The sequence below is a fragment of the Homo sapiens genome, chromosome 6 (genome assembly GCF_000001405.40).
Source record: "Homo sapiens chromosome 6, GRCh38.p14 Primary Assembly".
Lineage (NCBI taxonomy): Eukaryota > Metazoa > Chordata > Mammalia > Primates > Hominidae > Homo > Homo sapiens.
The window spans coordinates 40,362,971-40,388,167 of NC_000006.12; the positions used below are offsets into that span (position 1 = coordinate 40,362,971).

At 38.9% G+C, this 25,197-nt stretch overlaps 1 long non-coding RNA gene across 3 annotated transcripts, besides 1 other annotated feature; it reads left to right on the forward strand.

The window, feature by feature from the left end:
* Positions 15,347–16,546: an enhancer, noted in NCBI's record as "BRD4-independent group 4 enhancer chr6:40346056-40347255 (GRCh37/hg19 assembly coordinates)". NCBI's record gives its function as "activates an origin of replication core promoter dependent on BRD2, P300/CBP, MED14 and CDK7 cofactors, and independent of BRD4, by STARR-seq in HCT116 cells {active_cell/tissue: HCT116}" and the evidence as "EXISTENCE:reporter gene assay evidence [ECO:0000049][PMID:35650434]".
* TDRG1 (testis development related 1) lies at positions 15,367–16,923 on the forward strand. Of its 3 annotated transcripts, none has more exons than NR_160960.1 (3): positions 15,367–15,602; positions 15,753–15,927; positions 16,312–16,923. It is a non-coding gene; the product is annotated as a testis development related 1 (long non-coding RNA). The 3 variants fall into 3 exon arrangements; NR_160959.1 differs by having other exon boundaries at positions 15,777–15,927; NR_160958.1 differs by having other exon boundaries at positions 15,367–15,927.
* The last annotated feature ends 8,274 nt before the right edge of the window (positions 16,924–25,197 follow it).

Below are 25,197 nucleotides of genomic sequence, written 5' to 3' on the forward strand. Positions count from 1 at the left end.
AGGCCTCAGTGCAGAAAAGGGGAGCCCAGGTAGACACACTGACTTGAGGAACTGGAAGTCTGAGAAGATCAGGATGGCCATAGTTCACAGGGCAGAGTACTGGAGAGAAGAGAGCGGCAGAGGGTCTCCCTCAAGTATTCAGTGGAATGCAGATCAGTAGATACATGCAAGGAACTACTCAAAGCCACACAAAGACTTACCTGAAAGGATTAGAGGAAACATTGCCAGGTACGTTTACAGGGCCAAGAATCGTGTCTATTCCGAATAGCTGAGCTGGAAAATCTCATAATTCACGCAGAATTGTGTCAAGTACTCATGAAGATCTTACCTCAGAATGCTCTAGACTAAATGCTGCTATCATTCCACCTAACTAATCTTAAAAGCAAGACATGAAAGGATTAACTGTTTCCAAGTAACTTAACAGCACTCCAAAACAAAACTCAAGAGTATTTATAGGGAATATATAAATAACCAACACCCAATAAATTAAAATTCATAATGTCTGGCATCCAATAAAAAATTGCCAAGGATGGAAAGAGGCAGGAAAATACAACCCATAATGAGGAGAAAAATCAATCAATTAAAACCAACCAGAACAGGACACGTGTTATAATTAGCAGGCAAGGACGTTGAAACAGTTATGATTGTAATCCATATGTTCAAAAAAGTTGGTATAGAGACATACAAGATGTCTAAAAGTTCTAAATTGAACATCTACAGCTGAAAACTACTATGTTTTACATGAAAAATACATTGAATGGGATTAATGGCAGATTAGACATTAGAAAAAAGAAAGATGACTGAACTTAAAGATAGCAACAGAATCAATCTAAAATAAAACACAGAGAATGTCTCTAATGTCTGAAACAATAAAAATCAAAATAAAAGCAGCATCAGTAAGTTATAGGACAATTTCATGCTGCCTATCATACCTGTAATTGGAGTCTCCAAAGAAAAGACAAGAAAGAGACAGAAAAAAAATTTGAAGAAAAGTAGTAGCCTAAAATAATCTGAATTTGATAAAAACTATTAATGCACAGACCCAAGAAGCTCAAAAGCCCCAAACACAAGAAACACAGTGAAAACTGTGCTAAGCCAAATCATAAAATTACTCAAAACTAGTGATAAACAGAAAACCTTAAAAGCAACAGAGAAAAAGACAACTTACATAAAGAGCAACAAAGATAAGGATGATAGCAGCTTCTAGTCAGAAACAATGAGAGCAAGGAGACAGTGTAGTAACATCTTTAAGGTACTAAAAGAAGTAAACTGTCAATGTAGAATTCAAAAATGAAGGCAAATAAAGAATTCTTTAGACATGCAAAAGCTGAAAGCATTCATGCCAGCAGAGTCACACTACAAGATATGTTAAAGAAGGTCTTTCAGGCAGAGGGGAAAATAATAGCAGACTGAAATACAAATCTACCCAAAGAAATGAAAGCACAGGAAATGGTATCCAGGTGGATAAATATAGAGATGTTCCTTGATGTACGATGGAGTGCATCTCCATAAACCTATTGTAAGTTGAAAATATCTTAAGTCAAAAATGCATTTCATACACCTAAACTACTGAACATCATAGCTTAGTTTACCCTACCTTAAACATGCTCCAAACACTTAACATTAGCCTACAGTTGGGCAAAATCATCTGGCAACACAATACACTGTAGGAGTATTGGTTGTTTATCTGCCTGACTGTGTGGCTGACTGGGAGCTGTGGCTTGCTACTGCTGCTCAGCCACATAGGAGAGTGGAGCTTTCTACTGAATGCATATAGTTTTTGTACAACCATAAAATCCAAAAATCATGAGTTGAACCATCATTAACTCAGAGACCATCTGTATAGGATTTTCTTATTTAAGTCTCTTTAAAAGATAATTGCATTTAGAATAAAAATAACTGTAGTGTATAATTTATGATATATGTTAAAGTAAAATATATGACAGAAACAGTTTAAAGGCCAGAGGGAGATAAATGGAATACACTATTAAAAGGCTCTTATACTAGGTATAAAGTAGTATAAATTTACTTGAAGGTATATTGTCATAAGTTGAAGTATGCTGCAAACCCTAAAGCAACCACTGAAATAGCAAAACAAAGTATTATAGATCATAAGCCAACAAAGAAAAGAACATGGAGTTAACAAAAAAAAAAAATGCTCAATGAATTCAAAAGAAAGCAAAAAAAAAGAGGAAATCGAAAATAAAGAACATATGGGACAAATAGAAAACAGGTTGTAAGCCAATGTACTTAAACCTAATCATATCAATAGTCACATTGCATGTAAATGCATGTGGCCACACTGCATGAATCTAAACACCCCAATTAAAAGGCAGAAATTATTAAAGTTGAGAAAAAAAGCAAGCATCACTATTGCTGCTGACATAAAACTCACTTTAAATATAAAGACACAAATAAAACAAAGGAATAGGAAAAGGTATACAACGCTAAAACTAATTCTTTAAAAACTGGAGTGGTTTGTTAACATCAAACAAAGTCGATCTCAGAACAAAGAATATTACCAAGGATAAAGAAAGTAATTTAGTAAGTTTCAAATGATAAATGATAACTAATCAGTTGTAAGGACATAAACTCCTAAATGTCCACGTGCCTAACAACAGAGTTTCAAAATACATTAAACAAAGACTGGATAGATGAATCCACAATTATAGCTGAAAGTCTTAATACCCTTCCCTCAATAACTGATACAACAAATAGAAAATCAGTAAAAATACAGAGGATTTGAACAGCACAATCAAACAAGTTGAACTAATTGACGTGTATAGAACACTGCATCCAAAAAACAACAGAATATGCATTCTTCTCAAGTGAAACCAAGATATTCTGAGCCAAAACAAATTTTAATACATTTAAGATAATTCATATCATGGAAAGTATGTTATTTACATTGTTATTTTACATTAGTTTATAACACAATGGAATTAATGTAGAAATCAGTAACAAAAAGATTATTGAAATTCCCATATATTTGTGAACCAAATAACATATTTCTAAATAAGCCAGGAGTCAAAAGAGAAATTTAAAAGAAAATTATAAAGTATTTTGAACTGGATAAAAATGAGAACAAAAAATTATCAAACTTTGTGGGATGCTGCTAAGGTATTACTCAGAGGGAAATTTATAGCACTAGACACCTAATTAGAAAAGAATAATAGTCTCACATAAATAAAGCACTATCAGAAAAAAATTAGAGAAAACACAAATTCCAATACCAAAGCTAAGAGAGGTGATATCACTATTGATTCTATGGACATTAAAAGGATAATAAAAACATATTTTTGAACAATTTTATAATAAATTTAACAACTTAGATCAAATGAGTAAATTCATTGAAAGACATAAACTCCCAAACTTTATGTAAGAAGAAATAGATAACCTGAACAGTCCTATGTCTACAAAAGAAATTTAACTTGTAATCATAAACCTTCAAAACAGGAAAACTTCAGACCCAGGCAACTTCACTGATGAATTCTATCAAACATTTAAGAAAGCCTTAATACCAATGCAACACCAACTCTTCCAGATGTTAAGAGAAGGGAGTACTTGCAAAGTCATTTGATAAGACAACTGTCACCTTGATATCGAAACCAGACAAAGATATTATAAGCAAAGAAAACTAAAGACCAATATCCCTCATAAATACAGATATAAATATTCTTAACAAAATTTTAGCAAATCAATACAACAAAATATTAAAAGAATAATATGTCAAGACAAGTGAGATTTATCCCAGGAATTCAAGGTTGGTTCAACATTTTTAAAACTTGATCAATAAAGTTTACCATATTAGGAAACAAAAAGCATGTGATCATCTTTGCAGACACAGAGAAAGCATTTTAAAAATTGAATATCAATTTCTGATAAAAAAAAAAACTTTCAGGAAACTAGGAATGGAAGGAAACTTCCTCAATCTCATAGTGTCTTTTAAAAGCCTACAAATAATATCATACTTAATGATGAAAGACTGAATGCTTTCCCCCAAGAAGAGGAACAAATAAGGAGGTCTGCTGTTACTATTTCTATTCAATATTTACTGCAAGTTGTAGCTAGAGCCATAAGGCTAGGAAATAAAATATAAAGCATCCAGGTTTGAAAGGAAGAAGTAAAACTGTCTTTATTCACAGAAGACATGATTGTCTATATAGAAAATCCAATGGAATAGAGTGGATTCCTATGGAATCCACAATAAGAATTACTAGAAGTAATACATGATTTTAGCAATGTTGTGTAATACAAGGTCATATTCAAAAATCAATTGTATTTCTGTGTATTAGTAAAAAATGATAGGAAATTGAAATTTTTAAAATGCCATTTCTAATTGCATCAGAAATATGAACTATTTATGAATAAATCTGACAAAAGATGTGCAAGATCTGAAAATTGAAATATATAAATTATTGATGAGATAACTTAAAATAGACATAAATAGACCATATTTATAATTAAGACTCAATATTATTAAGCTGTAAATTCCCAAATTTACAATTAGATTTAATGCAACCCCAATCAAAATTTCAGCAGGCTTTTTTTTTTTTTTAATGGCAAGCTGATCTTAAAATCAATATGGAAATCAAAGGACCTAGAACAGCCAAAATAACTTTGAAAAAGCAGAACAAATTTGGAGGATTAATGTTACTTGATTTCAAGACTTAATATAAAGTTAGTGTGTTAGTCTGTTCTCACATTGCTATAAAGAAATACCCAAGACTGGGTAATTTATAAAGGAAAGAGGTTTAATTGACTCACAGTTCCACATGGCTGGGAAGACCTCAGGAAACTTGCAATCATGGCAGAAGGGGAAGCAAGGCACCTTCTTCACAGCATGGCAGGAAGGAGAAATGCCCAGTGAAGGGGGAAGGGGCCCTCATAAAATCATTAGATCTCATGATAACTCACTATCATGAGAACAGCATGGGGGAACTGCCTCCGTGATTCAATTACCTCCACCTGGTCCCTCCCTTGACACATGGGGATTATGGGAATTACAGGGATTACAATTCAAGATGAGATTTGGGTGGAGACACAAAGCCTAACCATCTAGAGTAATCAAGACAGTGTGAAATTAGCATAAAAATGGGCAAATAAATCAATGAAATAAATAAGAAGTCTAGAAATAGGCCCTCACAGATATGGACAACTGGCTTTTGACAAAGGTTCAATGATAATTTAGTGGAGAAGAGATACAGCTTTCAACAAATGGTTCTGTAACAAATTACAAAATATGATACTAACATAAAAACTGACATATAGCCCAGTGAAACAAAATAGAGCCCAGAAATACATCCATTCATGGTCATAAAGCTACAACTTCCTTCTTTTGCATGTGGATATCTACCTTTTCCAACAGAATGTGCAAAAAAAATTCCATCCATACCTTGTACCATATACAAAAATTAACTCAAAATATATTGCAGATCTAGGCTGGGCAGAGTGGCTCACACCTGTAATCCCAGCTTTTTGGGAGGCTGAGGTGGGCAGGTCAATTGAGGCCAGAAGTTTGAGACCAGCCTGGCCAACATGGTGAAACCCCATCTCTACTAAAAAATACAAAAATTAGCTGGGCAAGGTGGTGCACACCTGTAGTCCCAGCTACTCAGGAGGCTGAGGCAAGAGAATCACTTGAACCCGGGAGGCAGAGGTTGCAGTAAGCAAAGATCGTACCGCTGCACTCCAGCCTGGGTGACAGAAAAAAAAAAAGTATATATACGTATATAATTTTGATCTGCTATATATATGTGTGTGTGTGTTTATATTTATTTATATATATATAGAGAGAGACAGAGAGAGAGCAGATCTAAATGATCTAAATGTAGAATCTGAAAGCATAAAACTTCTTAAGAAAAAACATTTACAACTGTGGAGATCAGGCAAAGATTTCTTAGGGATGATACCAAAATCATGACCCATATAAAAGAACAAATTGGTAAATTGGGATTCATCAAAATTAAAAACTTCTTTTCTTCAAAATACACTCTTTTTCCTGTATATTAATTATCATGTATTTGAATACCATTTTTAAAACCTGTAAATCTGTACAAACATACATTTTGCAACCTTGATCAAACTATTTTATTTTATTGTTGAAAGAACACTTAACATGCGATCTATCCTCTGAACAAATTTTTAAGTGTACAACACGTTGTTGCTGATTATAGGAACAATGTGATAAAGCAGATCTCTACAGCTTATTTATCTTGCTTGACTGAAACTTTATTCCTGGTGATTAGTAACTCTCCATTTCCTCCTCCTCCTATTCTCTGGCAACCACCAGAGAGCTCATATAAGTGGAATCATGCAGTCTTTCTGTGACTGGCTGCATTAGTCCATTTTCACAGTACTATAAAAAAAATACCTGAGACTAGATAATTTATAAAAGGAGGAGGTTTAATTGACTCACAGTTCCACATGGCTGGGGAGGCCTCAAGAAACTTAAAATCATGGCAGAAGGTGAAGGGGAAGCAAGGATCTTCTTCACATGGTGACAGGAGAGAGAAGTGTGAGCAAGAGCAGGGAAAACTGCCTTATAGCCATCAGATCTCATGAAAACTCACTCACTCTCACGAGAATAGCATGGGGGAAACTGCCCCCAGGATCCAATCACTTCCGACCAGGTCTGTCCCTAGACATGTGGGGATTATGGGGATTACAATTCAAGATGAGATTTGGGTGGGGACACAGCCAAATCATATCACTGGTTTATTTCACTTAGCATAATGTCCTCAAGATTCATCTATGTTGTCACACATTACATAATTTCCTTCCTTTTTAAGGCTGAATATTATTCCATCATATGTATATACCATGTTTTCTTTATTCATCTATCCGTCTATGGACATTTAGGTTGCTTCCACATGTTGGCTTTTGTGAATAATGCTGTAATGAGTAGAGGAATGCTAATACCTCTTTGATATCCTGATTTTAATTCTCTTGGATAAATACCCAGAAATGGAATAGCTAGATCATATGATAATCCTACTATTTATTTTTTTGAGGATCTTCTTCTATACTGTTTTCTATAGCAGCTGCAACATTTTGCATTCTCACCAACAATGTACAAGGATTCCAGTTTTTCCACATCCTCTTCAACACTTTGGTTTTTCTGATAATAGCCATCCTGAGAAGTGTGAGATGTTAGCTCATTGTGGTTTTGACTTACATTTCCTTGATGTTTATTGATGTTGAACGTTGATGTTTAGTAACCTAACTATCAGGTTAATAGTTTGTTTTTTGCCTATTGAGTTGTAGGAGTTCCTTACATATTTTGGAGATTAACCCCTTATCAGATATAAAGCTTGCAAATATTTTCTTCTGTTTTGTAGTTTGTCTTTTCACTTTATCAATGACTTCCTGTGCAGAAGCTTCTTAGTCTAATGTAGTCTCACTTATTTATTTTTGTTTTTATTGCCTGTGCTTTTCTGTCATATCCATAAAATCATTGCCAAGACTAAGTCATGAAGCTTTTCTTCTATGCTTTTTGTAGGTGTTTTACAACTTCAGTCTTACAATTAAATCTTTAATCAATTTTGGTTTTTGTGGGTGGTGTAAGATAAGGGTCCAGTTTTATTTCTTTGCATGTGAATATCCAGTTTTCCATAATCATTTCTTGAAGAGATTCTTTCACCCATTGTGTAGTTTTGGCACTCCTTTGTGGATGATCAGTTGAGCATTTATGAGCGGACTTATTTCTGGGCTCGCTATTTTGTTTCATTGGTCTATATGTCTGTTTTTATGCTGGCATTATATTGTTTTGATTATCATAACTTTGTAATGTAAAATATTTTGAAATCAGCCATTTTTATTATACAAGTCTTTTACCTCCTTGGTTATGTTTATTCCTAGGTATTTTTATTCTTTGTGGTGTTATTGTGCATGGGATTGTTTTCCTAATTTCCTCTTCAGATAGTTTGTTTTTGGTATATAGAAACACAATTGATTTTTGTTGTTATTTTTGTATTCTACAACTTTACTGAATCTATTTATTAGTTCAGCCTCCCAAAGTGCTGGGATTACAGGTGTGAGCCACTGTGGCTGGCCAGTTCTCATAGTTTTTTTAATGGAGTCTTTAGAGTTTTCTATATATAAGATTAAGCCATCTGCAAGAGGGATAATTTTATGTCTTGCTTTCCAAATTGGATACCTTTTCTTTCTTTTTCTTGCCTAATTGCTTTGGGTAGCACATCCAATACTATGTTGAATAGAAGTGGCAAGAGTGGGCATCTTTGCCTTGGTGCTAATCTTACAGGAAAAGTTTTTAGTTTTTCACCATTGAGTATGGTGTTAGCTGTGAAGTTTTCATATATGACCTCTATTATGGTGACGTAGTTTCCTTCTATTTCTAGTTTGTTGAGAATTTTTATCATGACAGAGTGTTGAACTTTGCCAAACACTTTTCCCACATCTATTGTGACAATCATGTAATTTTAATCTTTTATTCTCTTAATGTGGTATATCACATTAATTTTTGTATGTTGAATCACCTTTCATTTCAGGATAAATACCACTTGGTCATAATGTATGATTTTTATAATATGCTATTGGATTCAGTTTGCTGATAGTATATTGAGGATTTTTGCATATATATCCCTCAGGGATACTGGATACTGGCCTGTAGTTTTCTTTTCTTGTGGTCTCTTTGTCTGGTTTTAGTATCAGGATAATGCTGGCATCTTAAAATGAGTTTGGAAGTATTCCCCACTCTTCAACTTCTTGAAAGAGTTTGAGAAGGTTTAGTGTTAGTTTTTCTTTAAATGTTTGGTAGAATTCACCAGTTAAGTCATCTGGTCTTGAGCTTTTCTTTGTTAGGAGGTTTTTGATGACTAATTCAATCGCTGTACTACTTACAGGTCTGTGCAGGCTTTCAGTTTCTTTATGATTTAATCATGGTAGGTTGTATGTTTCTAGGAATGTATCCATTTCTTCTGGGCTATCCAGTGTGTTGGTATATAATTGTTCCCAGAAGTCTCTTATGATCTTTTTAAATTTCTGTGGCACTAGTTCTAATGACCCTTCTTTCATTTATGACGTTATTTTAGTTTTTATCTGTTTTTCTTATTCTAAGCTATTGTCCATTTGTAAACATTTTGCTTATCGTTCCAAAAATACAGATCTTAGTTTTGTTGACGTTTTTCTATTGCTTTTATATTTTCTGTTTCATTTATTTCTGCTCTAATCATTGTTGTTTCCTTCCTTCTGCTAACTTTGGGCTTAGTTTGTTGTTCTTTCTCTGATTCCTTGAGGAATAAAGTTAGGTTGTTTATTTGAGATCTGTTTTCTTTTTTAATGTAGATGTTTCTTCCTATGAAATTCCTTCTAAGTACGGCTTTTGCTGCGTCTCTAAGTTTTATATGTTTTTTTCATTTTTGTTTTTCTCAAGGTATTTTATAATGTTCTTTTCAATTTTTTTCCTTGACTCAATGATTGTTCAAGAATGTATTTAATTTATATACATTTGTGCATTTTTCAGTTTTCTTTCTGCTATTGGTTTCTAGCTTCATGCCATTGTGGTCAGAAAAGATATCTGATATAATTTTAACCCTATTAAAATAGTTAAGACTTGTTTTGCAACCTACTATGTGATCTATCTTGATGAAAGATCCCTATGCTGCTATTGGGTGAAATATTCAGTATATGTCTGTTAGCTCCATTTGGTTTATAGTGTTATTCAAGTTCTCTGTTTCCTTACTAATCTTCTCTCTGGATGTTGTGTCCACTATTGAAAGTGGGGTGTTGGAGCCTCCTACTATTATTGCATTGCTATATATTTCTCCCTTTAGTTCTGTTAATGTTTACTTTATATATTTAGGAGCTCTAATGTTGGGTGCATATATATTTATAATTGTTATAATATTCCTTGTGGATTGACTCTTTTATCATTATATAATAATCTTCTTTGTCTCTTAAGAGAATGAGAATACAAGCTAAAGGCTAGGAGAAAATATTTGCAAAATACATATATCTAACAAAGGACTTGTATGTAACACATATAAAAACTTTCAAAACTCAATAAGTAAATAGCAATACAAACCAATAAGAAAATGGGCAAAAGATTTGAATGTATAGTTTACCAGAGAAATTGTACAGGTAGCAATAAGCACATGAAAAAACACTCAACATTCATAGTCATTAGAAAAATGCAAACTAAAACCACAATGAGATACCACTACACACATTTCAGAATGACTTAAATTTAGAAAACTAACTTTGTCAAATATTGATAAGGATTTGGAGGAACTAAAAACTCTCACATATTGCTCTTGAGAATTAAAGTGTACAATCACTTTGGAAAACAATTTGGTAGTTTCTTTCCTTTTTTCTTTTTTTTTTTTTGAGATGGGGTCTTGCTATGTTACTCAAGCTGGCCTCAAACTCTTGGGCTCAAGGGGACCCTCTTCAGCACCTTGAGTAGCTGAGATTACAGTAGTGCACCACTGCACCTGGCTGGTAGTTTCTAAAAAGTTAAACATACACTTATCATATGATAGAGTCATTCAACTCCTAAATATTTATCCAAGGGAATAAAAGCATATGTTCATACAAATGTCCTCCAAGTTTCCTAGCAGCTTTATTTGTATTAGCTAAACATTGGAAACAACAGAAATGTCATCATCAGGTGACTAGATAAACAAATTATTGTATATCCATATGATAGAATTCTATTCAACAATAAAAAGAAATTAACACTAAAATTCTTGTTTAAATCTCAAAACTATTATGCTGAGTGAAATAATTCATAAAAAATTGAGTACATACTGTATGATTCCATTTATATTAAATTCTATGCAGTGCAAACTAACCCACAGTGACAAAGCAGGTGAGTGGTTGCTTGTGGGGAACAAGGTTGAGAGCTAGATTACAATGGGACACAAATTTTTTTTTGGTATGTTCATTATCTTGATCATGATGATGATTTCATTGGTTTTTATAAATGTCGGAATTCATCAAATTGTACATCTTGAATATATGAAGTTTATTATATGCCAATTATATCTCATTAAAACTGTTAAGAGAAGATTTTTGCATCAAAAAATATTTTAAAAGATGCCTTTCCAATTGGAACTTTAAAACAATCTATTGTTAAACAATTGAGTGATAATTAAGATACAAACAAGAATTAAAGGATTCTGAAAAAAAGACAATTAAACCACTAGATATCCTATCTATAAGATATGTTTAAAACAGTAATCAGAGGACAATATATGGCTAGAAACATTGTATCTCTAAACAGTGAGGAATGAAACTAACTTAATTCAAAAATATATAATGTTCCCCTAAAAAGTACAAGAAAGAAGATATAACAACTATACATTATATGTACCTAACAACAGAGCCCCAAATATATGAAATAACAGCTGTTAAGTTGGAGGGAGAAACAGACAATTCAACAATAATACTTGGATACCTCAGTATATCACTTTTAATAATGGCTGCAATAACTAGACAGGAGATGATCAAGGAAATAGAAGGCTTGAACAACACTATAAAATAACTGGACCTAATAGACATCTATAAAACACTCAATTGAACAGTATATGTTCTTCTGAAATCCACATGGAACATTGTCCAGTACAGACCATAAGTTTGGCAACAAAAGAAGTCTCAGTAAGCATAAAAAATAAAATTATATAAAGTATCTTCTTCAATCACAACGGAATAAAATTAGAAATCAATAATGAGAGGAAATTTGGAAAGTCACAAATGTGTAGAAATCAAACAAATTCTTAACCAATCCAATGGCTCAAATAATAAATCATGAGACACTTGAAAATTCTCCGATATAAATCAAAACAAAACAAAAGCATACCAAAATGTATGGATACAACAAAAGCAGTATTTAGATGAAAATTTTTCATTGGAAACATCCACATTAAAAAAAAAAAATATCTCAAATCAATAACCTAAGTATATAATAAACTAGAAAAAAGAAAAAGCTAAATTCAAAGCAAACATAATAAAGGAAATAATAAAGCGTAAAGTGTACATAAATGACATAGAGAAAAGAAAAACAATAGAGAAAATGAACAAGCACAAAAATTGGTTATTTAAAAAAAATAAACAAAATTAACAAAATCAAAACTTTAGACTTACCAAGAGAAAAAAGAGGACTCAAATTACTAAAATCAGTAATGAAAGAGAGGACATTACATTGACTTTACAGAAATAAATGGGGTTATAAAGAAATCATATGAGCAATTATATACCAACAAATTAGATAACCTAAATGAAATAGACAAATTCCTAGGAAGACACGAACTACCAACTGACTTATGAATACATACAAGCATAGAAACATAGCTCAATGGAATCAAATTTAGGGTCCAGAAATAAACTCATATACTTATGGTTAATTGATTTTCTCCAAAGGTCTCAAGACCATTCAGTAGAGAAAGAATTCTATTTTCAACAAATTGTGCTGGGAGACAGCTGGAAAAGCACATATAAAAGAATCAATTTGGACCTCCACTCACAACATGTACAAAAATTAATTAAAACTCATAAAAGACCAAACGTTAAGTGCTAAAACTATAACTCTTATTTAAGAAAACAAATCTTCATAATCTTGGATTTGGCAATAGATCCTTAGATAGGATACCAAAAACACAAGCAACAAAAGGAAAAATAATAAATTGGGCTTCGTCAAAATTGAAACCTTAGTGCATTGAACACTATCAAGTGGAAAAATAACCAACAAACTGAGGGAAATTATTTGCTAATCATATATCCTGTGAGAAACTTCCTATGAACTAAATACTTCCCCCAAATTCACGAGGCAGAGCCCTTATGAATGGGATTAGCACCCTTATAAAAGAGGCCTGAGAGAACTTCCTTGTTACTTCCACCACATAACCTAAGTATATACTTTAATAAAGTATATAGGACATACTGCAAGATGGCCATGTATGAACCAGGAAGTAGGCCTTCACTAGACACTGAATCTGCTGGCACCTTGATCTTTTAACTTCCCAGTCACCAAAATTGTGAGAAATAAATTTCTGTTGTTTCTAAGCCATCCAGTCTATGACACTTTGTTACAGCATCACAAATAGACAAAGCCAGGTCTAGGACTGTGAATATATAAAGAACTCTTAAAATTTGACAACAAACCAAAATTCAGTAACAAGCCAAAAAGATACAGAAATCATTTTTTTTAAATTGTCAAAGGACTAGAACAGATATTTCTCTTAAAAGATGTACCAAGAAAATATAACCAATAAATACATAAAAGGATATTCAGAATCTTTAGTAATAAGGGAAATGCAAATCAAAACCATAATGAGATAACACTTCACACCTACTAGGATAGCTAGAATTTAACAATCACAACAAAAAGAAAACAAGTGTTGACAAGGATGTGGAGAGATCAGAACCCTTATGTATTGCTGGTAGAAACACAAAATGGTTCAGCCACTGTGGGAAGCATTTTGGCAGTTCCTCAAAAATCTAAATATAGGATTACCACATGACCCCGCAATTCTACTCCTAGGTACATATCCAGCAGAACTGGAAACATGTCCAAACAAAAACAGGTGTACACAATGTCCACAGCAGAATTATTCCTAACAGTCAAAAAGTAGAAACAATCCAAATGTCCATCAATTGGATACACAATATATGGTATATTCATGCAGTGGAATATAAACCTTACCAATAATGAAGAACTGGCACAGGCTATGATACTCATGAGCCTTGAAAATATTATGCTAATTGAAAGAAGCCAAACACAAAAGGTTACCTATTGTATGACTCCGTTTACATGAAATGCCCAGAACGGGCAAATGCATTGAAACAGAAAGCCAATCAGAGGATGAAGGGAGGGCAGAACGGGGAGTGGCTGCTTAATGAATGCGTTAGTCTGTTCTATCACTGCTATAAAGAAATACTTGAGACTGGGTGATTTATAAAGAAGTTTCTGCTGCACTCCAGCCTGGGTGACAGAATGAGACCTTGTTTCAAAAACAAACAAACAAAAAAAGGTTTAATTGGCTCACAGTTCCACAGGCTGTACAGAAAGCATACATAGCAGTTTCTGCTTCTGGGGAGGCCTCAGGACACTTCCAGTCATGGTAGAAGGCAAAGGGGGAGAAAGCACTTCCTATGGCCAGAGCAGGAGAAAGAGAGGGAGGAGGGAGGTGCCACACACTTTTAAACAACCAGATATCAGGAGAATTCATTATTGCCATGACAGCATCAAGGAGGATGGTATTAAACCATAAGAAGTCACCCCTATGATCCAATCACCTCCCACTAGGCCCCACCTCCAACAGTGGAGATTATTATTTGACAAGAGATTTGGGCAGGACACAGATCTAAACCATACCAGTGTGTATGGAGCTTCTTTTGAGGGTGATAAAAATATTCTGCAATAGGGTTAGTGATAATGATTGCACAATTTTATGATTGAACTGAAAGCCACTAAATTGTACACTAAATACTGTTAATTCTATGCTACATTAATTTTATATCAATTTTTTAAAAAGGGATATGGGAGGCTCAAATATAATGGTACATTTGAACTTTTCAGAACAAGGTCTTTCAAAACACTTGCCCAATAAATATAAATATATGGGCATCCCCCAATTGGCCTTTAAGGCATTCTCTTCCATTGGCCAAGAGCATTCTCATCTGCTCAGCAACTTTCTCCCATTGGCCGGACCCTTGATGCTGAGGCTTTGAAGCAGAGCCTGGGTTTTCCAGGCACTGCTGATTAGCCGGGGGAAGAAAAGTAGGGTGTTGTAGCAAACCCTCCAGTTAGGACTTTGGGTCCCTAGGAGCTGACTGAGTCTGTTCAAGCATTTTCTCTCTAGTGCCAGGCCTTTGGTTGGTGGGAAAAAGTCATAGGATGGCACTGGGGGGGTCTATTTGCAGTCGTACTCTTAACTCTTGTGAGACCTCAAAACAAGTGCCTTCTGGGTGGTGCTTTCCACTGGGGTAAAATGAAAAGACTCCAGGATCACAGGCACCCAGGGTTCAAAGGCCTGTTAAGTAGAGAGCAGGAGACAGTACCAGCACAGCCCTAACTCTGTCGGGCCTGTCCTCTCAGAAGCCAGGCCATGGCCCACCTAAATTCTGGAAGGCCCCACCTCCCTTAGCCCCAACAGGCAGTGCTCATCATCAACGACTTTCCTCCAAGCCCCCGCCCTCTGCATACTGCATGGACTCCAGGAGTCCCCTGCCCCCACTCCCACCCAGGAAAGCTGGTCTAGGACCAATCAGAGGCTGTGGAACTTTCTGGAAGGCCCAGGGCTTCTCCCTGGGTGGGGCAGGGCCTCTGATTGGAGGAGGCCTGCCAGAAGGGTGGGGCGATGGGCGTGGCTAACGGGATAACTGCCAGAGCAGAAGACAGTTGGCAGTTATTTCGCAACCTTCATCTGTTCCTGGAAGATACCCGTAGCCTGCCTTCCTTCTTGACAGGCTGATTTAGGGGTGCTCCCCAAGAAGATCAGGACTGCTGAAAGAATGAAGAAGAACTTACTTGGCCTAGGATGTGGCTAGAGAACGGAGCGCACTTTCACTTACCTGGCAAGGTGGTTTTGGAAGTTTCCACGGAAGCCTTCCCAGGGCCGCTGCTGCCCGTCCTCGCCTAGGTGTGGAGCTTCCCGACCGGCTGGGGAGGGAATGTCCTGCGGGAGCCGCCGAGGACCCTCTTTAGCCTCTTCCCTGGCTTGGCTGCAGCTGCAGTCTGGTACTCGCCCATTCTGCTCTTCTTCACCTCCGTATTTTCTCTCTCACGGAAGAAGAATTCCATTCTCCCATCCCAGGAAGGAGAGTGCCCTGCGTGCCACGAAAGAGCCCAGGACCCACAGGACAAATACGTCACTGGCAGACCTGCCTTCGCCAGCGCCAGCCCATCTCTGAAACCTCCAGCATTTGTGCCCCGGTCCGGCCCCTCCCAGGCCTGACTCTTTCCGTGTGGGTATTTTCCTCCTGGGCTCGCTGCCGCCTCGCTCCCATTTCTCCCTTCCCTCCCTATGGTAACTGATGAAGGGTTGGGGCTGGTGGAACCCAGATCTGGGGTCAGAAGTTCCCCTTGTCAAGTCCCAAGTCTTCCATCTAAGCTGTGTGATCATGGGAAAGACACTTTACCCTTTGTGGGCATGCCCGCTCAACTGGAAAGTGACACAATCATAATGCCCTAATCCAGAATTCTTGTGAGAATGGGAGTAATTATGTAAATATCTTTGGAAAACAGATGTGCTGCCAATTACATTTTGTGATTTTAACTTTGTCTTATTTCTCTGCTGTTTTGTCTTCCTATGTATCAAGTTTCTTCTGATTTTTTTTTTTCTTTTATAGGAACGGTCACTGCGCAGGATCAAGCTACAATGAAGAGGAGGGAGGCAGTCTGCGCGCACCGCCATTTTCTAGGAACTGGGAAGCCCCCCCACCCCTTAGGAAGATCCATCCCTGTGGAACCTTGCCCAGGCTTACCAGCCTTTGCTGAGGTTGATCTATTGTCCCTCCTTGTCCCCATCAAAATATCCAGCACTCCACCTTCAGGGAGTAGACTTGACCCTCAAATAGCAAGTTCAGCCTTCCCAGGTCTAGGTTCCCTGGGAGGTCAAGATTCGTCTGGTTCCTTAGTACAGAGGGCTAGCTGTGAGTTGGAATCCCCCTATGAGCTTTAGAATCAGTCAAGAGGAATTGGGCCCCTTCCCTTCATCCCTCTTCTTTTCCCTTTTTGTCCCAGAGCTCAGCTCTGACTCAAAAGTTTTTCCATTTACCATCAACATGGAAACTTGGCTCCTCACGTAGGTATATTATCCCCCTTTTGTACATGGTCTTGTTGATCCAAACTCCCTTTCTGTGAAAGAGGCCTGTGGGGCTCAAGAAGCCTGGTCAGCCAGCCAGGCTAGTCCCACATACCTCAGAACCAGTTTAATAAAGGCTCTATGTCATTCTTTTTTGCTTGGGCTGATTGGTGTGCTGATTCAGAAGACCTTGATATTTTATTCTTTCCCCCAAACCAGCTCAATTGGTGTTTGTGCTAGAGGGAGATGGACCATGGGGAGGGCTGTTATAAGGGATATCCTTGGCCCTCCCACTTCCCCCTTTGAAGGATGCCCTTGTTATCTTAGGCAGGGACCTGATACCGGTTGGTTCAGTAGATATCTGGCAGTTTACTCTGAGCATTTACCTTATATTAGGGCAAGAACTAAAGGAACAAATATATCCACCTCAATGTCAGGTCAAATGGGAGGATGTGGATGGGAGTAAAGAGTGATTAGTATTGAGGTCGTGGAATTTTATTGGTTACTATTTTTATAACTTTGGTCTTCGAGTCCTTGAATGAAGGTAAACGGAGACTTATTAGGGAACAAATTACTAGTGGCAGGGTGGTGGTGTCCTGGTGTCCTGCTTAGAATGTGAAGAGAGTGCCCCATCATTGGCCTATGCTGTGCATCTGGGAGGTGGTAGGCCACAGTCCTGAACTGCACAACTGGTAGTGAAATTCAGAGCAGAATGCAACATTTATTTAATGGGGCCTCACAGTTGGCCAGTGTCCCTGTGGCCTTTCCCCTTCTTCCTTCCACTCTGTGTCATGGAGACCCGACTTGATTTGGCAAGAGAACAACGTACACCTAAGATTTCCCGAATATTTCCCAGCAAGGACCCTGGCTGGCTATGTTTCTACTTCAGTGGTGACCACAGCAGATACTGGCAGTTTTCTGTTATGGCTCTGGGGTCTTTTAAGGAGCAGGAACGTGGAATATGTACAAACCTGGAGCCACAGTCAAGTACTAAGCTCCTTGAAGCACAAGGCATGAGAATATCATGTTTTCTTTTCCTTAGAGGATTTATGAATTAAAACTAAGGAATAATTTGTAATCAGAATAACACCACCTGGCAGGGATGTTGATGAGCTGAGGAAGGCTTATTTGGAGATTTCTGGTATTTTCCAGCTCTGAGACTCCAGACCTAATATCCATGTAATGGCCATTAATGTCTTGTAATTTATAACAGTTTTATCAGTGATCCATTACATTAATCATCATGAGTTGGTGACTTATCAAGTCCTACAGGTTATTTGTTATTTGTATAACTATATAGAGCTATTTAATTTACAAACACAATACTCTTTTGAGGTAGATACCAGAACCATTTTACATTTGAGGATATTGAAGCTAGGAAAAAGACTCAGCTCTTGAAGGAATGGACATGGGGTGCCCTTGCCTTCCTTGGGGAGAGAGCCACCTAATCTGTGCAGCTGTAGTTAGGGCCTGCCACCTTATTCCTCCTCTCCATCCAGCCCCTACATTTTGGAAACAAAAAGGCAGCAGTGATCTGGGAATTATTTAATGCTTAGTTTGACAGGACAAATTTTAAGGACCTTAAGAGCAACCTTTTATTTCTTACCATATGAGGCACTGGGACAGGCACAGAGAAGTCAATATTATTTGCCCAGTGCATTTCTTCATGGCTTCTGCTTTTTAATCTTAGGCTCACTTTTTTAACCTCATTGCTCACATGTTATGATTCCTTCCAGAAAGTTCACTGAAATTCTAATGTCCCTTGCTGTTCCTTAGGTAACTTAGGAGTAACTTTCCAGCTCTTCCCCTAACTAGTTGTGTGACGTGCAGCAGGCTGCTTAACTTCTGTGTGTCTCAGTTTTCTCAACTGTAAAATGAATGATCCAACCCCTGTGTCAGAAGGATGGGTGAGGCTCATGAGGAATAACACATAAGAAATATGGGATGCTTACCACAGTGTTTGGTAAATAACATGAGTTTCCTCTTCCCTCTTTGAACAGTCCTTTGTATTCTGCTGAGAGCTTTCCTGTTCATGCTGCCTCACAACCAAAAGGGGAAAGAATCCTGAGTCCTGTGCTCATGATTTCTCCCTTTGCTAGCTGGTTCAAGGCCAATCCAGATACCATGGTATTTTCTGAAAGAGTCCCACCCTTCTGTGCAAAAGCCTTCCTCCCAGGGAGACTTGATATGACTGATTAACAATCCAATTAACACTCTGGAACAATCTAGAAGGGCTGTGGCTCATTACCCTCAGCAATTTTCCACCCATTTAGTCTCCAAGCCATTCCCTGGAAGAGACAAGTGGATCTGATGAGTGGGGCTGTGCCATGAGACCTCCAGTATTTATGGAGAAGCCAGTCCTTTCTTCCTTCGCCAGGCCTCAAGATTTCCCAATGTGCCTCTATTCTTACATGGCGGATGGGATTCTTTGCCTTCATACAGGAAGGAACTGGAACCTCAAGGCAGACAGGACAAATACAAATCTTGAAAATGACCATGACTCCTAGTTGGTCCCTACTTGCCTCCTGGTTTCACTAAGTAGAGGGTCACTCCAGGTAGAGCCCTATCCAGCACACTGCTCCTTCCCCCACCTTTAGATGTGGACAGTGGGTGGACTGGGCCCATAGCCTGGACCTGGACAGCTGTGTCCTCCCAACCAGACTCTTCTGATTCTGCTGCGCCTCACTCTTTCCTACTTATCCTTGCCTAGATCCCTCTTACTCCATCTTTCCTGCTCAGGTCACAATGGACAATAATCTCTGACCCCTGCCCCAGCTAGACTGGCACTGGAGAGCTGAGAGAGCCTCCTGTCCATGGAGAATTCTGGCAGAGCTGCTATCTTCAGCCCCGTCTCAACTCTCCAGGGTCCTGTGCCCTTTGTCTACCTCTCCCAGGCCTGACTCTCCTCCCACTTGCATGGACATTGTCTTTCCTAGCTCTGGGCTGCCTTCTCAGCCTCATGTTTTGCCCTTTTTCCTGCTGTGGGAGCCAGCCATCACTGTAATGCATGAGTGCGGGGATGTGGTGTGAAGGGAACTCCAGTTCTGGGGTCAGAAGATTTAAAGTTTGAGACCTACTTCTGTCCCATAAGCACTATAAAAACTAAGCCAAATAAACAACTTTGATCCTCAGTTTGGAAACTTTTGTAATGTGAAGAAATTAGACTTTTGATAAAGAATGGAAGAAATGGTCATCCATGCTAAAGAAATGTTTGGAATGTTGAGATGCTATAGAATCTTTCTGACAGTGCTGCTGACTTTGTATACCTCTACATATAAATGTCTCCAGTTTTGTTTCTTTTCCACCATTCTGCAGACAAAGCTGAATGCAGGCAGGGAAGGAACCCTCACTGTTGAGCCCTGGAATCAGGCACTCTTGTCTGAGCCCCTTCATCTTTGGTTTGGGGTAGAAAGCACAGGTGGCACCCTTTCTCTAGTTTTCTCACTTCTGGCACAAACTTTCATTTACTGTAACCTAAGAAAGGATGGAAGACCTTGAGCCTCAAGAAAAAAGCCCCAAGAAAATTCCATGCCTCTGCTTCCCTCACAAATCAAAGCTGAGCTAATCCAGAGCAGTTTGCATGATTCCTTAGAAGAAGGAACCTCACCAGGACTCTTAAAAGCAGGGAGACCAAGGAAGAATTGGGCTTCTGCACTTAATCACTGTTGAGGTCCTCCCTGCCTGCTCCCAGACCTCTGGAGTGACCCACAGTCTTCTCTATTTACCTTAAAAACAGAATCCAACCTCTTCATGTAGGTGAGTCACCCCATCTGCAGTTATATGTCCTGGCGCACCCCAGCTCTCCCCAAACAAACTGTGAAGCATCAGCCCTACCCAAGGAACCTGTCCAGCCATGCACACTTCAACCAACCCTCTCTGACCTTAGGATGAAACCGTTTCTCTAACATTTTTTTTCACTCACATTGGGACCAGTGTGTTGATTCAGAAGACCAAATTGGGAACTAATTTTAATCTCCCTACCTCAAGCAAATGGATGGTCTTCGGACTAGAGGGGGCCCAGGTATTAAAGGGTGTCAGAGAGGGCTGGTCAATGGGCTACCATCCCACCACCCCTTGGGAAGAGCTCACCTCCCTTCTCAAGTGGAGAGCCTCTGGCCCACTCTCAGCCCTCTGATCAGAGCCAGGCTCTCACTGAGTGATTTTTCTGGCACCTGGCAGTCTTCCCATCCTAGAAGGGGAACAGTGGGAGGTTTTTGGTGGCAGCATTTGTGTCATTCCAGAATACTGGATGTTAGATTTTGGCTGTTGGGAAAATCCTGGAACAAAGATGAAAGGTGAGAAGGATTAGGGAACCAATGAGTGAGGGGCAGGATGGCCATCCTCAGCCCAGCAGTGAAGTCTACAGTTTTCCAGGTGCTTCCATCTACTATTGGGGCTGTTGTGTATGTCAGAACATTCAGGGCATCAGGGAGTACAGAGGTTACCATGTGCTCTCTGCCACTTCCCTGCCTCCTTTCTTCTCTCAAAATCATAGAGACCAGTGCTGATTTGGCAGGGAATATCGAACCTCTTGAGATTTTTCCAGCTGGAACCCTGGCTCTGTACCTAGTTTTTTAACACTATTTTGACCATAGCAGTCTTTGGGAGCTGCTTGATGTCTGGGCTCTGGATTTCCCATGAAGTCAAGAATGATGGATTCACAAGGGCCCACCGGGAATATGGAGCCATGGTCTGATTAGAGCACAGAGAGCTACTTCCTGCCTTGGGTAAATCCTGAAATTCATCATGCATGATTTTCCTTTTAATAAGATTAAGGAGAGCTTGTATAGATATTGAACAGGGGATCCTGATAGCCATTGAGGGAGGCTGGAGTAGATGACCTCTGATAGCTTTTGCCAGCTTTGAGAGTCTATGAACTTAACATATGTAATATTATCATTAATATGCTATAATTTATGTTACTTTAAATGATGCATATCATTAATAATAATGACTGTTATTACGCTGCCTTTTCCGATCCAATATGTGATCTGTGTAACTACATAGTACTACAGAAGCATACTTACTGAAGTCGATACTTACCATTGATATCTTACCAAAAAAGAAACTGTGGCCAAGAAACAGCCTCTCAACCCAGAACCCCCAAACTAAACAGCCTCTTTCTCTCAGGAGGAACTGAACCTGCCTTGGTTTACTCAGTTCTCTGCAACTACCCTTCTTCCAGACCTGCTTTGTTCCCTCCACCACACCTCCTCTCAAGCTCCTGGGACAGCTAGAGATGCCTCCCTCAACCCCTGCTTGTCCAGGCACAGGATCCCAGTCCTTAATGTGCCCCTGTTAGACCCAAAGCCAGTCACTTTTCCATACCAGGTCTTAATTTCCTCTTCTGTAAAGTGACTCAAGATTTTGAAACTTAAAATCTGGTGAATTCTTCCAAGCACAGGTGCCATCTTATGTTGTATGGCCTTTGGCCAATCCATCTGTCCATCTTTTCTTGGATAGTAGTTTTGCCAGATCTATAAGTTATCTTGAAATTAGTGAAAACAGACCAATCTTTGATAACCAGAGATCTAAAGCATCAGCTTATGGCCCTGTCCTTCAGGGTAATGTGTAAGGCCCTCAAAGCCATGCACAGTGTCTTTCACTTTGACTTTTATCTCTCTCAATACCATGCACAGTGCTAGGCACACAGCAGGTCAGCAAGAGCATGCTGAATGAGCACAAACAGATTTCACCATCTCTCCCACTTTTTCTGCTGGACTCAGTCTTCTGAAAGTCAAGGCACATATGCCAGGATTCAGGCCTTCGACATGAAACCCAGACAGCTCTGCATTTTTACATCCTCTGCAGCTCTGTAAGAAACTTCAGAGCAAATCCATCTCTTGAGTGTTTACCCAACTTTGTGCCTCAATAGCTGTGTGACCTTGGGCAAGTTATTTAACTCTTCTCTACCTGAGCTTCCCCAATAGAGATATTAATAATAATACTTATTTCATTGTGTTGTTTTGATGATAAATTGAGATAATCTATATATAGCTCTTAGACCAGTACACGGCACATAGGAAACTCTCAATAAATGTCAGGTATGATTATCAACTTACTTTTGCAGTTCAATATTCACCTGAAAAATGCCAACCTAATGTTCTCCTAATGAAAGTATAAGAACTTTTCCATAATTAGTCTGGGTAGGTAAGGCAATCACCCCATCTTTGGTAGACAGGAAGGACCATGTCTTCCAAGAGATCCCCACAGGAATGGGTGGGAAGAGCATAACAGGAAACCCAAGATGAAAGCCTTCAGGATTAATAGCTGCAACTGAGGGCTTAAATCCCTTCTTCTTGGCAGCAGTACTCCTCAAATGGTGAGCAAGTTACCTGCTAGTTGCCAGGACATGCCAAGTCCATGACAGAGGGGACAGGTGTAGTGCACTGAGGTTTTTACTTCACAACAAAGTGGAAACAATGTCAGATAGGTCAGCTAACACAGGTCTCCATGGTTTGGAAAATGGGATATCTTGGATGTAGCCTAGGAGATTCAAGGGAAAGAAAACTCATCCTTGCAAAGTATATAAATGTTAGTGCTGCTGTGGGGTATGCCAGGGAGCACCACTGAACACATGTTACAGAGGAGGTGCAGGAGAAGAGGGGGTGTGCTCATCACCAACTAACCAGATGGACAGCCTGGACGGATGGGCTGGGGCTGTGGGAGGTTGGTCAGTGGGCTGACTGGCTGTGGACCAGATGGGTTTGGGGATCCCATGGAGATGGGTGAAATTCCAGCTCCATTCTCTCATCAGTAGGAAACCGAGCATGTGACTGTTGACATCTTGGAAAGGACTAGACCATGAGATCTTCCTTGCTCCAATCCCAGACAGACTCCGGCATGAGATAGTGGAGGAGAATTCTGGCTCCAGGAGCATATTCAGCTGATGGCTAAAGGGACCAGAAGATCAATTATCCCAACAATAATAGGAAAATAACCAGGGAAGAGCCTGTAATCTGGGCCTACTTCCTCAGAATAGGTGAGCAAAAGAAAGATGTCACACATTATACAAAATGAGAACATGGAGAAAGATCACTGAACCTGTCAGAAGTTCCTAAATAGCTATGATAGGGGTCACAGGATAGCCTTAGAGGTAAAAGCTAGCTTCTCTCTTTGGTCTGGGGAAAACATGCCAATTTCTCTCTGATAGAAGCTTCAGGGAAGGGAAACCACGAGCCTTGTAAACATTGACTGACTGTGAGGTACAGAACCTTAATTGAGATGATGGAAGCTACAACCTTTGGTTTAAGGGCTGAAAGCACAAATAGATATTTTTAAACTGTGAAAGTGACAGGGTTCCTTTTAGATATTGGGGCAGTAACCTGGATGGGCCTGATTCTATTATGCAAAGGTAGAAACCTCAGGTATTTACCTGTGAGAAGCCTCCTTGTCACAACAAATTCTTCTTGCTGCCAACTGCATCACATGGAAAGGCTAGGTTTGATAATCTAGGTGGGATCTTTAAAACGGTGTATGCAGGTTTTGAGTGCTGCCTGCCAATAGTCTCTTCTTTTGAATAAGTGTGTCTATTTTTCTGGCAGCAGTTTGCAGAAATCCCACTGGTTGTAAGAACAGAGAAAGCCCCACCCAGCTTGCTGAAGCCCTGAGACCTTCACTGCAGGCACACTGAGAACAGAAGATACAGAAGTACTCAGGCTGTACTTATGAAAAATCAATACTCACAGACTTTTAAAGAAAAGTTACTTTGCATTTGGGAAGGGGGAATCCTGAGACAGTGACTGTTGCCTAGCCTGGCTGACAATTATATCCCTTAACAAAAAAGTGTTCCTGAGGTCTTTTCGAATTTCAACACTGTAATGGTGAAAAAATAGAAAATTCTCTTGAGGGAAACCTGAGGGATATGTCATTATCGAGAATGTGGGGAAAGGGGTCAAACTGTTTTTCCAGAAAGCTTAATAATCAACTAGGCAAATATTGTATCAGCTATCTCACCTCTGCAAAAGATTGAAGAGCTGGAGGCTTCTGTATATCAGGAAAGAGGATCTGGGTAGGTATCTTACCTGATAGGGACAGGGGTATTAAAATAGAAAGAGGCGAGAAGATGGGTTTTGTCTCTGAAGCAAGCTGTTGTCAGGCTTTTTATCTTAGGGGGAAGAAGTTATAGGCTCCTGGGGCAGAGCAGCCCAGACAAGACTGGAGATGGAAGGCTCATTCAACAAGCAACCTCCTAGAGGTCACCAAGAGGGAAGAAGGGGTGACCACAGGGTGGGCTGGGCAGTGCAGTCTGAATCCTGAGGAATTTTCCTGGCCAGGGGAGGGAACGTGTTTCAAGGCAAGGAGGGCCAGAAAGGCCGGTGTACGGTCAGAAGGAACTGCTTCACCAAGGTGCTCTTGCCTGGAATTAACACTCTGAGGTTTCTCGCAGATCTTAGGCTAGTCAAGGGTTTCCTGATTAGGCTACAAATGT